This window comes from Homo sapiens, chromosome 13, assembly GCF_000001405.40.
Source record: "Homo sapiens chromosome 13, GRCh38.p14 Primary Assembly".
NCBI classification, from domain to species: Eukaryota; Metazoa; Chordata; class Mammalia; order Primates; family Hominidae; genus Homo; species Homo sapiens.
In genome coordinates this window covers 23,284,540-23,299,066 of record NC_000013.11, presented here as the reverse complement: position 1 = coordinate 23,299,066, position 14,527 = coordinate 23,284,540, and the positions used below count along the sequence as shown (strand labels likewise).

General features: G+C 39.9%; 1 protein-coding gene across 5 annotated transcripts in view; it reads right to left on the bottom strand.

Annotated features, from left to right (window-relative positions):
* Nucleotides 1-14,527, bottom strand: part of SGCG (sarcoglycan gamma) — a 164,655-nt gene that overhangs the window by 26,096 nt on the left and 124,032 nt on the right. For all 5 annotated transcript variants that reach the window (NM_001378244.1, XM_047430542.1, NM_001378245.1 and 2 more), the window contains one exon: nucleotides 3,580-3,652. In NM_001378244.1, coding sequence (NP_001365173.1) covers nucleotides 3,580-3,652 — 73 coding nt within the window. The remainder of the gene's footprint in view (nucleotides 1-3,579; nucleotides 3,653-14,527) is intronic.

Below are 14,527 nucleotides of genomic sequence, written 5' to 3'. Positions count from 1 at the left end.
CACTTCATAATTAAATGAAACAAATTCTGTGACAGCACTGAGCACAGTTCCTGGCAGTCAAAAGCATTCAGTGAATGTTAGTTCCCACCTCCCATCCTCACCACACTCCTCGAGCATTTCCTTGCAGTTTTGTTATTTTTTTCAATTGCCTTGGTTTTAACACTCAAGTTGCTCAATCCTTCCTCAGTACCGCCTTTTAGAAAGCAAAAGAATACTCTTGTGCCGTTTCTTTTTCAGTAAGAGCCTGCCGTATATACAGTGAGAAGATTTAATGGGATAACATGAGATGAATTATTTAATTGAGATCTATATATTTTTTAAATTGACATTTACTTTAAAAGTGTTTTGGCATTTCTACAATCTATATTATTTTATAATTTTAAATTGGCTTTAATGGGATTATTTCCACAGATTTGAATGATTTTTCTAACCTAGGAAAATAAAATGTTTTTCTTCTCTATAAAAATTCTTTAATGTTAATCTTTTTATCCATTTTCAAAATTAAACCTTGTTATAATTTAATTATAGTCACAATCTATTTTTATGTTACAAATGTTCACTTTGTGGGTAAGATAAATTGAACTCCTATTTGCTTTTGATGAATATTTAATTGGACATTAAATATATAAAAAATGCTGCTTTTCCTAATCCTTTATTATTTAGGGAGAATATCTATGTAGTATAATAACAATTTTTTTTTCCCTTGATAAAAAGACGGAGTCTGGCTCTGTCGCCCAGGCTGAAGTGCAGTGGCATGGTCTTGGCTCACTGCAAACTCTGCCTCCCAGGTTCAAGCAATTCTCATGCCTCAGCCTTCTGAGTAGCTGGGATTACAGGCATGTGCCACCACGCCTGGCTAATTTTTGTATTTTTAGTAGAGATGGGGTTTCATCACATTGGCCAGGGTGGTCTCAAACTCCTGACCTCAGGTGATCCACCTGCCTCGGCCTCCCAAAGTGCTGGGATTACAGGTGTGAGCCACCATGGCCGGCTGTATAATAACAATTTAAAAAGTGATTGTTGGCTGGCCGCGGTGGCTCATGCCTGTAATCCCAGCACTTTGGGAGGCCAAGGTGAGCAGATCACCTGAGCTCAGGAGTTCAAGACCAGCCTGACCAACATGATGAAACCCCGTCTCTACTAAAAATACAAAAATTAGCCAGGTGTGGTCGTGGGCACCTGTAATCCCAGCTACTCAGGAGGCTGAGGCAGGAGAATCGCTTGAATCCGGGAGGCAGAGGTTGCAGTAAGCCGAGAGTGTGCCATTGCACTCCAGCCTAGGCAACAATGTTGGGAACAGGCCCCCCAAAATCTGGCCTTAAACTGGCCCCAAAACTGGCCATAAGCAAAATCTCTGCAACACTGTGACATGTTCATGATGGCCATAACGCCCACGCTGGAAGGTTGTGGGTTTACCAGAATGAGGTCAAGGAAAACCTGGCCCACCCAGGGCAGAAAACCGCTTAAAGGCGTTCTTAAACCACAAACAATAGCATGAGCAATCTGTGCCTTAAGGACATGCTCCTGCTGCAGATAACTAGCCCAACCATCCCTTTATTTCAGCCTATCCCTTTGTTTCCCGTAAGGAATACTTTTTGTTAATCTAATATCTATAGAAACCATGCTAATGACTCGCTTGCTGTTAATAAATATGTGGGTAAATCTCTGTTCGGGGCTGTCAGCTCTGAAGGCTGTGAGACCCCTGATTTCCCACTTCACACCTCTATATTTCTGTGTATGTGTCTTTAATTCCTCTAACACTGCTGGGTTAGGGTCTCCCTGACCGAGCTGGTCTCGGCAAACAAGAGCAAAATTCCATCTCAAAAAAAAAAAAAATAAAAGATTGTCTGTGTTTGACTTTTCAGTTTACAAAATGCTTTTAACATAATATCTTATTAAATCTTTCCTAGAATACTCTGAGGTAAGGATTACTATCAGTAATGTTTAATATGAGAAAAAATAGTCTGGAAAGGTTAGTTTGGCCATGGTCAGCCGGCTTGTCTGTGTAAAGCTGGGATTCCTACTGTACCTTGTATTCCCTATTATACATAATTTATTAAAATATATTAATTGTCCTGCATTCACTTCAAGTTTAAATTCTAAATGTGATTTTAAGTGATAGCATGAACTTTAAGACCATTTAAAATATTATTTGGTTTTGTTATAAAATACAAATATATTATTGGAATGAATAGTTATAGGTGTAAATGACATTCAGTAGCCTAGTGGTAAGGTAAAATACACATAGACACAAAGATTCTGTAAAAAATAATAAATTTATGTATGGAACTGGGTGATTTTTATATATTCAGGGTATTATGTACAGATATACCAAAGGGTGAGGAAAGTATGCTAAGTCGGATAAACTAGGCACAAAAGGAAAAAACTGTATTATTTCGCTCATATGAGAGGCACCCAGATTAGTCAAATCCACAGAGACAGAAAGTAGAATGGTGAGTGCCGGGGTGACCGGGAGAAGAGAATGAGGACTTGTTAAATGGATACAGGGTTTCAGTTTTGCGAGATAAAAAGAGTTCTGGAGATGGATGGTGGTAATGACCACGAAGTAATATGAATGTACTTAAGACTACTGAACTGTACACTAAAAATGGTTAAGATGGTGAATTTTATGTTATGTGCATGTTACTACAAATTAAAAAAGAGATACACTAAATGTTTCCAACTATTTTGCAAATATGGATTTATTGTGCACTTGGTTTTTATAATGTTATTTTCACTACTAATAGTGCATATATCTTTTAAAAATTTAAAGTAAACTGACATTTTCAAGAGTGCCTTTTGCACATTTCACGGCCACATAAGGCACCTTTGTCTTCCACTAAAAAGTGCAAAGGTTTTGCCTTGTTTGCAGATAGTGTAGAGATGGATAATGTAATATATATATGCACATGCTTTGTGTTAAGAATTGTAAAAAACTTCAGGAAACGTATGCTGACACTTTTCAGGAGAAAATAATAGGTTTGTAAAATATATGAATCATAAACCTGTAGCATCTCAATTAACACTTGAGGGATGAGCAGACATTCATGAGGTCTCCTCGGGGAGGGGGGCACCCCAGGGAGATGCAACAGTCAGTGCAAAAGCACAGAGGGGATGGTGTGGGATGGGTGGGCGAGGATATGGCAGTCACTCATGTCTGGGTGACAGGGTAGGGGAGGAGGTCCCGCCAGTCACAGCCCAGACTATGAAGGGCTGTGGGTGCCCAGTGGAGCACTTAGGATTTTCCTATGGCTGATGTGATGTGGGAGCGATGAAGCATTTTAACCAGCTTGCATTTAGCAAAGTCATTTTGATACCAGTGTGAGAGGCAGATTGGAGAGGAAGAAGGAGGAGGAAGGAGGAGGCTGTGAACAGGCACCAAGTGTGGAGTCAGTAGGACTTTTTGACCTCCTTTGGATTTTAATAAATACTATCTAGTTATAAGCGGAAAGTCTTGAAAATAAAGGCAACTGATGAAATAAGAAACAGTCAGGAAGTAGTCACTGCTAACATTATTCCAGCACATACCCTCTTGTCTTCTACAGGAGAGGTTGTTAATATTTGAACAAAAATTCTTACCTAAGGTCTTGAAACGGGTCGGCTCTGACAAGGGGTGTCTCCACTGAATGTTCAAAAAGAGCCCCTTCAGGCCCTAAACAAAAAACAAAGATGTATCAGGAGCAGAAGTAAAATAAGTGACACCAAACAAAATAAACATTTAGCCTAGATATTAAAGAACATATGGATTTTGTTCTTTCTTGCAGAATTTTTGCAGATGTTTGAGTTACAGGTAGAAAAATAGGCCCAACTCTTTCCCTACTTTTCTGAGGCTATCACAATTTCATTATGTTCCTATAAACAAAATATGTTTTTCAAAGCAATTACAAATTAGCAGGCTTATTTTAAAACTAGAAAGCAATATTAGTCTTCAAATCAAAAAAGAAAAAAAGTCCTTCTGAAAATTGCATACACCCATATATTTTAAGTAATAGTAATTTAACTAATTCTCTAGATTTTATGTATAAAAATTGTATCTTGTATTATTTGTTTCTAAGGTAGTCAGGATATTTACAGAAAAATTAAAAGCTTTAAATATTTAAAATGAACCTTCTAATTCCTAGAAATCAGTATGTTCCCAGTTGTTTCATGAGTCTGAGAACCTAATTATATGCAAGGCCCTGTGTCAGCTGGGGTGCAGAAAAACACAGGTGAAAGTGACATGCTCTTTGATGTATCCTAACTTGTTTAATACTCAGACCCCTGCAACGCAGGTAGTATTTTCCTATTTACCCATGAGGAAGCTGAGGAAGAGAAAGGTTAATTAACGTGCCTAGAGTTCCACAGCCGAGAAGTGGCAAGGCTGTAATTTGAATTCAGAGCCCACACGTTTAATCTATATGCTATAGGGGTTTTCATACATAAATAACAATATGTGATAGAAAGTAATGTGCCAGTAGCAAAGTGCAACAAAATTATTTGGAGGGTCATCAATGGGGAAGAATTACTTTAAGGCATCAGGGACTATTTCCTATTTTCACATAGGAAAATGAAGTGGGTCTGAACCTTAAAATAAATAAACTTTTATGAACATATGGAGATTGAGAGCAAGAATTTCAAAAAGAGCAGCAGTCCAGGAGCAGGAAAATGTGCTGAGTGTCCAGGAATAAACAAATAATCCAATTCACTGGAAGCAACGAATTCTACATGGAATACAAACGTATCTTTCACATTATATTTAAATCTATATCCTCTTGAATTTTATGGGCATATTCACAGATATAAGCAGCACCACATTGCTTATATATGTGCATCATGATTTCCCCAGGTTGCTCATGCCTATCTTAGGCCCTGCCCTGCCTAGGGTCCCACCTCTGGCTCAGGTCCTACCCTTGGCTTAAGAGGCTGTGGCTGCCACTTGCAAAGAGTTTTTCTCTCTCTTGTGGTTCCACAGGAATCTCAGGATTCATCCTCACACTGTGCACTTTCCTCTTTAGGAAATACAGAGGGTCCCCGACTTGCCATGGCTTTGTAGAAGGCAAGCCATTGCAAGTTGAGGAGCTTCTATAATGAAACAATTACAAGGTTTATTTTTAAATCAACCCTTGTACTAGTTTCAATATTGGACACTGAAGAAAAATTGCCTGGGTAAAGGTTTCCCAGCCTCTGTGTTGAGAAATCCTCATCCTGGGCAAAAGATCTTTTGAGCAGCCCTTACTAATTTTTTTTTTTTTTTTTTAAGACGGAATCTCACTCTGTCACCCAGGCTGAAGGGCAGTGGCAAGATCTCCGCTCACTGCAATCTCCGCCTCCCAGTTCAAGCAATTCTCCTGCCTCAGCCTCCTGAGTAGCTGGGACTACAGGTGCCCACCACCACACCCGGCTAATATTTTGTATTTTTAGTAGAGACAGGGTTTCAACATGTTGGCCAGTCTGGTCTCAAACACCTGACCTCCGGTGATCTGTCTTCCTTGGCCTTCCTAAAGTGCTGGGATTATAGGCGTGAGCCACCGCGCCCAGCCAGCCCTACAGTTCACAGTACCTTCACATTTTCTCCACAGTATTACTGGCTATATTAGCTTTGTTATTATAATTACTACTTCCTTAGTAATTTTATTTAAATATGAAGATATGATAAAAACCCACGCTGGAAAAAAGCCCTTATCCAAGAAATAATAGCTTGTGGCACAAAAGCAAAACAGACTTAAATCAGAACAAAGTGAAATTTTAAAATTACAAACAGATTTAGTAGGATGATTTACATAAAAACTATAATCAACTGAAATAAAGGAACACACAAAAGTGAAGGTTAATGTTTCATGAAAATTATAATTTATGTAAATTATACTCAGATAAGAAACAGATCTTCGTGTATGCTGTAACAAGTCACATTTTCTTAAAATACCACTTAAGCAAACCTAAACGATAATGGAGATCATTACGTAAAGTTAGGCTATACCAACCACTGGAGTTTCCACAATAAATGTTGCCAGTCAAATTTTAGAGTACAATGTCTGGTTTGCTGATGTGTTGACAACATTTCCTGCTTGGCATAGAGAGGAAAATAATTTAACATACTAATTTGTATAATGATATGTATTCATTTTATCCTTTTCTTTCCTCCTTGCTTCTTCTGATTTGCAAAATAGAAAATGTAAATTTTAATACACCTCAAGTCAATTCCCAAGAAGACAAGCAGAGCTATGCTTAATTTTATATAAGTATATTTACTGTGGTTTATGTAACATTGTTTGAAACCCAAGTAATGCTTTGTTATCACGAAACTAGAGTGAGCTTTATGAATCATCAAAAAACAATGATTTCTTTCCATAACTAAGATATAAAAACAAAAGGAATGTGGGCATAAAGTTTTCTGTAATTATTTTCTCTATTTTTATATAAACAAGATGATATTATGACTGAGAAAAAAGTCAACACATTTAACTTTCTATAACACATACCCTTGTAAAACAAAACTGGAGACTGCAATCTATTCCACTTCCATAGGCAATTTTTATTTGAGCACAGTGTTGGGTCAAAATAAATACAGAGATGAATCTCTAAATTAAATGGTTTTTGGGGCAATCACAGAATTGCAATTTGGGGCATATCTCCAAAGAACAAAGAGAAAGTTGGGAGTTTTATTAGAAAGAGAAACGTCGGTGGGCGCAGTGGCTCACGCCGGTAATCCCAGCACTTTGGGAGGCCAAGGCAGGCAGATCACTTGAGGCCAGGATTTCGAGACCAGCCTGGCCAACATGATCAAATCCCGTCTCTACTAAAAATACAAAAATTAGCCAGGTGTGGTGGCGCACGCCTGTAATCCCAGCTATTCTGGAGGCTGAGGCATGAGAATCATTTGAACCTGGGAGGCAGAGGTTGCAGTGAGCCAAGATCGTACCATTGCACTCTAGCCTGGACAACAAAGTAAGACTCTATCTCAAAAAAAAGAAAGAAATGTTATGTATTGTTTTGAAAGAAGGCTCATTGGCACTAGAGAAGCTTTTGGGAGCTGGCAAGCTCTGATTGGTGAGTGAGGGCAGCAGGTAGAACTCTTGGTGTCACAGCAGGTTGTTTCAGCATTTACTAGGTAACACTGGTCTTAGGGTGACAGCAGGCCATTTCAGCAGCTAGGCTTGAGGAAAATTCAGTTCTTGAAAAAGGTGCTACATGCCCTGAGTGCTTTTTCCCCAGCCCCTCGATTTACTTGGGTATGACAAAATGACCCATTTCATATAATCAACTTTCACAGCAGCGTCAATTCTTTTCCCCCAATAGCTGAATTTATTCAAAGAGTTTCAGTGGCAATAAAACTCAGTAATTAGTTTTTAAATGCATGCCAATTACTTACCTTCTAATGTAACTATAATTAGTGATATTATATTGACATATGATTATGGTAATGTACTTACAGGGAGATATAAAATCTATAAACTGATATGTATTATCTTTAAATAAGAGCAGCAGTTTCTCTACATTGAAATGATAAATGTCCAAATTATATGCTCTTGATTATATCATCACTATTCAGCCTCAAAGTTAAATGCTCCTCAGAACCTATTTGCGTATAATAAAATGAATTTTCCTAAATGATTTCATAAAATGATTCTCAGGAAATGGTTGTTGATCTTCAATTTAATTGCATTTTCTTTATGTTTGCATTCATTTAAATATTCACAATCAAGATGATATAAGAAATATAATTGGTATAATACCTCTTCTTTGTGGAAAATGAAACATATTATTTGAAGTCATATAATCTAAAATTTTAGACAGGAAAAAAGTTCTACTATAAACTATCATTATATAAATCATGCATTAAAATGACCCTGTATAATATGCATTATTTATATAGGAAAGTATAAATAAAAAGGAAAATAAAAGAAAGCCTAGTCTAATAATGTTAACTTTTTTATTTTTAGAATATGTCATTGAGATTAGACATGGTAAATGGTTTGTCCAATTCTACTGTGAAGGAGTAGTACTCAAACAACACCATTCTTCCCTTCTGGATCCTAGAGCATTATATGATGAATGATGCTCACATGAAGATCTGTAATAAGACTGTGGTGCAAGATGGATTGAGACGGTCATGAAGGCAGTTGAAAAGATCATGGTACAGAGCCCAGCAATCAGGGTGCTCTTGGACAGAGCTCAGCAACTGAACGGCAAATAACTCTAAGTTGTTCCATTCTTTGCAACATACTGCTGTTTCTAGGTTCCTTCAATTATAGAAATACATTGAATTCAATATTAATACTTCTGTTCAGACAGTAATATATATCTCAGACATGCATTCATTTTTGTATCAACACTGATAACTATTTGTTAAGATTCATTCTACACCTTCATTGAGCATTTATGGACTGATACGGTCTTTTCAAGTGATGCCAAAAAAATTCCATTTCTCTCGTTCAGCCAAACTTCCGCTTAATGTCACCACATAATGCCTCTACTGCCTCCCGTCCTATTCACTTTGTAACCACTTCAACCTGCCTTTTGCCTTTATTACTCCAATGAAAAATGCTCTCCTTAAGATAGCAATAACTTCCGTAATAATAAATCCAATGACAATTTCTGTCATCTCTCCTGGGTCCAAATTCTGAGAAAATAGTCTCTCTTGACACCAGAAAAACGATTATCGTAATATCCCTCCCACCGCATTGTCTGTCCCTTATTCTCCTTTGGTGGCTGCTCTGCCTTTACTTGGCCTCTACTGTTGGCATTTTTTGGAGCTCAGTTGGTTGATGACACCCACATTTATCTCTAGTCTAGACTTCTGCTCTGAGCAGTAGCTAACTCACATGCCCAATAGCTGACATGACATGCACTTGGCAGTTTTCCCAGATTATCTTCAATTTACGTGTCTAAAATATTAACTGTTGATGCTGTCTGCCCTGCAAATGAATTCTCCTCCTCCTCAGGCCTCTCCGTTACCCAGAGAGTAATGCCATCAACCAAAACAAATATCATCTTTGAGTCTCCTCCTGGCTGCCTGCCATACACCCGATTCATAGGCAAGTCTGTAGCTGTCAGATCTTAAACTGGAGTAATTCACTTCCCTCTCTGACCATTGCTACCACCCAATCCAGGTCACCTTCGCTGATTACGTGTACTACAATTGACATCCTCCTAACTGGTCTTACTGCCTCCATTCTTTCCTCCAACCTCCTTTGTAATGGTTGGATTGATCTTAAGATGTATAATGAATCAAGGAGTACCCTGTTCAAAACAATTCAATGCCTCCCCATTGAACTAAAACAAATCCTAAATTCTTAAAATGGCCAGCAAATCCCTGCATAATCTGGTCCCACTCTATCTCCCTTTATACCAGGCTTTTTTCAGATTCAAACCTGGTAAGATTAAAAAATAAAAATCATGAAATAATATGGCACAGATAAGACAAATAGAGAACTTATCACAATGAATGTCAGTTTTAAATTCCACATTAAAACTCAAAATAAATTATGTTATAAACAATAAATCCAGCCAAACGCCACATACAAAAGAAATTCAAATAATTTAATCTGAGAAAAATTTCAGCTGGGAGAGTAACTTAAGATGCCAAATCACTGAGGCCCTCTTATAGATAGATGTTTAGAGAAGTCTTTGCAGAGGCAAGTGATGTTTGCAATTGATGGAATCATTTTGCAACCCAAAAGGGAAATATCAACATACTTGCAGAGAAGAAAGGTAGCGTAAAATATTACTTGGCTACTAAATTAATCAACAACCTGGAGTTACCCTTTCCCCAGCCTTCCTATGTGAGATAATACATGTCCTTCCAGTTTAAGCCTGTTTTAATTGGGACTCTTGTTCCTTTCAGCTGAAATACCATGGACTGCAGCACGGCGTTGATCGCTGCGTGCAGTGCTGCATCAGACAGTGTTCTGTGCCCTTGGGTATGTGTTTGAAGGATATGGTACTCCTAAAAGCACCTTCCAGATATCTGTCTTCACGTCTTTTTCGACTTAACATCCTTGTTTATTTTCACTTCTTCAGTTGCTGAACACTTTGTTCTCCAGGTCCATTTTTGTCACTGGCTTTATGGGTGACTCTGGCATTTCTACACTATCACTTTTGACTTTATGTGATCTTGCTTAGCTGCACAGAAGGCATAAAGAAATGGAATTGGGACTATTGCTAGATCTTATTTTTTCTTATTAGTGGTGGGAAATGGATACTATTATAGAACTCTGTTTTTAAAGATAATATTGGGAAATGGACTGAGCCTAGCAAATTGTTGCCAGGGAGCTAAAATACACTTAGGGCAGCCAAACTAACAATTTGTCATCTGCCAGAAGTCAGTTCTGGCAATGGTGTAGAATAGTTTTTTGAAGACAACATTTTGATGTTATTCCAATAGTATGTTCTGTAACTTGGGTTAATAAAAGAAATGTTAACTTTGGCCACTTGGTGTCTAATTTTGTGGGGGAGGAAGATGAGCCTGCTTAAAGGCCTAAATTGGTTTCAGACTGAACTGCTGAAATTGTTTAATCGCTTCCATAAATTTCGCTTAAAAACTATTATTCAGTATCCTAGTTGACTAAAATCTAAATGGAAGCTGTTTAAGAATTAAAGAGAGGTTTTAGCTTATTTGAGTAATTAAGAGAATAGCAACAGCAATTGTCTTAATTGCTCAAAGAATGGCAATTTGAGTCAGGATTAGGACTTGGTGCAGTCAGGAGTTTCGAGTGCACCATCTTAAGGAGAGAGCCACCTTATCTTCCCCTTTCACCAGAGCTATGGGCTGCTGTGCAAGTGACAAGGGCGGAGAAAAGAAGCAAAGAATTGGATTTTCTTTCCAGTCCTCAGAGTGAGGCTGCCCGTCTCTTTTCCTATCACTTCTCTTTCCTTGGCTGTCAACTACTGTTGCGTTTGCTGACCTGAGAAACTCCAAAGGCTACCTGGAGTCAATCCACTTGAAATAGGGACCCAACTGTTATCACAGGTAGTGGAGAAAAGTTTTAATGGGAATTTGTGTGGAAGCATTAAAGCTTATAAAAACATTCTTATTGGCTGGGCGCAGTGGCTCACGCCTGTAATCCCAGCACTTTAGGAGGCTGAGGCGGGCAGATCACGAGGTCAAGAGATCAAGACCATCCTGGCTAACATGGTGAAACCCCATCTCTTCTGAAAATTCAAAAATTAGCTGGGCGTGGTGACATGAGCCTGTATTCTCAGCTACTCGGGAGGATGAGGCAGGGGAATTGCTTGAACCCAGGAGGCAAAGGTTGCAGTGAGCTGAGATCGTGCCACTACACCCAGCCTGGCCACAGAGCAAGACGCTGTCTCAAAACAAAACAAAACAAACAAACAAACAAACAAAAAACCCTGGTCATAATGGTAACAAAAAACTGTGAAATTATATGAAATAAAAAAGAATAAGTCAAGTTTTTTGGTGTCACTTTTTCAAACATAGTTGGAGTTGTAGGATGGCTCTATTTAGTCTTCTATTTCTGTTAGGAATTATGGCAAACTTAGCTACTTAAAACGATCCTCATGTGTTAGCTCACAGCTCTGTTGGTTTCAGGTCCTACCCAGAGTGTCTGACCAGGTTCTGTGCTCAGGGTCTCACAGGTGTCAGCAAGGCAGGGCTCTCGTCTGGAAGCCCAGGGCCAGACTCTACCTTCTGTGTCATGCAGGTGTTGGCAGAATTCATTCAGTTCTTTGTGCTTGCAAGACTGAGGCTCATTTCTTGTTTCCTGCTGCCAGCCAAGGGCCTCTTTCCCTTTCTAGAGGCCACCACTTCTTGTCACATGGTCCCTCTTTCTTCCTTCAGCAACACAGCAGTGAATTTTTCTTGCTTTTCCAATTTATCTGACTTCCCCCTCTACTACCAGCCAGATTAACCTCTCTGGTTATAAAGGGCTCATGGGATAGATTGGGCTACCCAGATTACCTTCCTCTTACCATATAAGTGACATAATCACAGGAGAGACATCTCATATTTACAGATTCCATCCACACTGAAAGGAGAAGGAAATATACAGGGCTCAGTGGGGGCATCCTTAGAATTCTGCCTACCCTAGTGGCACAATAGGACATTGTTCACTAAATGTTTACCATTGGCGATAAAGCTATAATTCAATAGTCCCCCCTTATCACAGTTTTACTTTCTGCAATTTTGCTCTCTGAGGTTTCAGTTACCCACCGTCCTAAAATATTAAATGGAAAATTCCAGAAATAAACAATTCATAAGTGTTAAGCACTATACACAATCCTGTATCATTCACCTCGGGTCATCTTATCATGTAGGCATTTTCTCATCTCACATCATCACAAGAAGGGTGAGGACAGTCAAATAAGATATTCTGAGACAGAGAGAGAGATGACATTCACACAACTTTTATTACAGTATATTTTTATAATTGCTTTATTTTATTATGAGCTATTGTTGTTAATCTCTTACTGGGTCTCATTTATAAACCGAACTTTATCACAGTATGTATGTATAAGAAAAAACACAGTGCAGCATATATAGGGTTTAGTACTATCTGCAGCTTGAGGTATCCCCTGGGGCTCTTTGAACGTATCCCCTGAAGATAATGAGGAACAACTGTAATAGTTAAATTGAGGGCATTGTCAGTCATCACAAGAGTGAATATTAATCTTGTGAAGTTAAGGTTACCGATCTTTGAAATGACTATCATGTCATCATCATGGCTGATTTTCACTTCTTTAGTTGCTGGCAAATCTAACTTTCCTGGTCTTTTGTTAGTGGCTTTGCCAGCAATTCCAGTATTTCTCATCATTTCTGACTTCCTAAACCCTACATCTTTTGCAAGACATGCAATTTAATTTCACGATCAATTTGCATCTGCTTTGTTGAATTCTGTATACTGTCCTGTAATGGTGAGAGACCAGTGGCTACAGATCTTTGTAGTATAAAGCACTGAGAGGTGAAATATTCATTTGAGGTCATGTGCTTACTTAATGGAACAGCTGGGATTGGAACTCAGTCTAATTCTCAAAAAGTTACCCATTGTTGGTTGGTGGTGTCTGGCAAGATGGCCAAACAGGAACAGCTCCGGTCTGCAGCTCCCAGCGAGATTAATGCAGAAGATGGGTGATTTCTGCATTTCCAACTGAGGTACCTGGCTCATCTCATTGGGACTGGTTAGACAGTGGGTGCAGCCCACGGAGGGTGAGCCAAAGCAGGGTGGGGTGTTGCCTCACTTGGGAAGTGCAAGGGGTTGGAGAACTCCCTCGCCTAGCCAAGGGAAGCCGTGAAGGACTGTGCCATGAAGGATGGTGCTATTCAGCCCAGACACTATGCTTTTCCCATGGTCTTCGCAACCTGCAGACCAGGAGATTCCCTCAGGTGCCTACACCACCAGGGCCCTGGATTTCAAGCACAAAACTGGGTGGTCATTTGGACAGACACTGAGCTAGCTGCAGGAGTTTTTTTTCATACCACAGTGGCACCTGGAATGCCAGCAAGACAGAACCATTCATTCTCCTGGAAAGGGGGCTGAAGCCAGGGAGCCAATTGGTCTAGCTTAGCGGATCCCATCCCCATGGAGCCTAGTAAGCTAAGATCCATTGGCTTGAAATTCTTGCTGCCAACACAGCAGTCTAAAGTTGACCTGGGACACTTGGGCTTGGTGAGGGGAGGGGCGTCCACCATTACTGAGGTTTGAGTTAGCAGTTTTCCCCTCACAGTGCAAACAAAGCCGCTGAGAAGGTTGACCTAGGTGGATCCCCACCGAGCCTCGACAAAGCTGCTGTAGCCAGACAGCCTCTCTAGATTCCTCCTCTCTGGGCAGGGCATCTCTGAAAGAAAGGCAGTAGCCCCAGTCAGGGAGTTATAGATAAAACTCCCATCTCCCTGGGACAGCACCTGGGGGAAGGGGCGGCTGTGGGTGCAGCTTCAGCAGACTTAAATGTTCCTGCCTGCCAGCTCTGAAGAGAGCAGCGGATCTCCCAGCACAGCGCTTGAGCTATTCTAAGGTACAGACTGCCTCCTCAAGTGGGTCCCTGACCCCTGTGCCTCCTGACTGGGAGACACCTCCCAGCAGGGGTCGACAGACACCTCATACAGGAGAGCTCCGCCTGGCATCTGGCAGGTTCCCCTCTGGGACGAAACTTCCAGAGGAAGGAACAAGTAGCAGTCTTTGCTGTTCTGCAGCCTCCACTGGTGATATCCAGGCAAACAGGGGCTGGAGTGGACGTCCAGCAAACTCTAGCAGACCTGCAGCAGAGGGGCCTGACTGTTAGAAGGAAAACTAACAAACAGAAAGGAATAGCATCAACATCAACAAAAAGGACGTCTACATGAAACCCCATCCAAAGGTCACCAACATCAAAGAGCAAAGGTAGATAAATCCAGGAAGATAAGGAAAAACCAGCATAAAAAGGCTGAAAATTCCAAAAACCAGAATGCCTCTTCTCCTCCAAAGGATCACAACTCCTTGCCAGCAAGGGAACAAAACTGGACAGAGAATGAGTTTGATGAATTGAACAGAAGTAGGCTTCAGAAGGTGAGTAATAACAAGCTTGTCTGAGCTAAAGGAGCATGTTATAACCC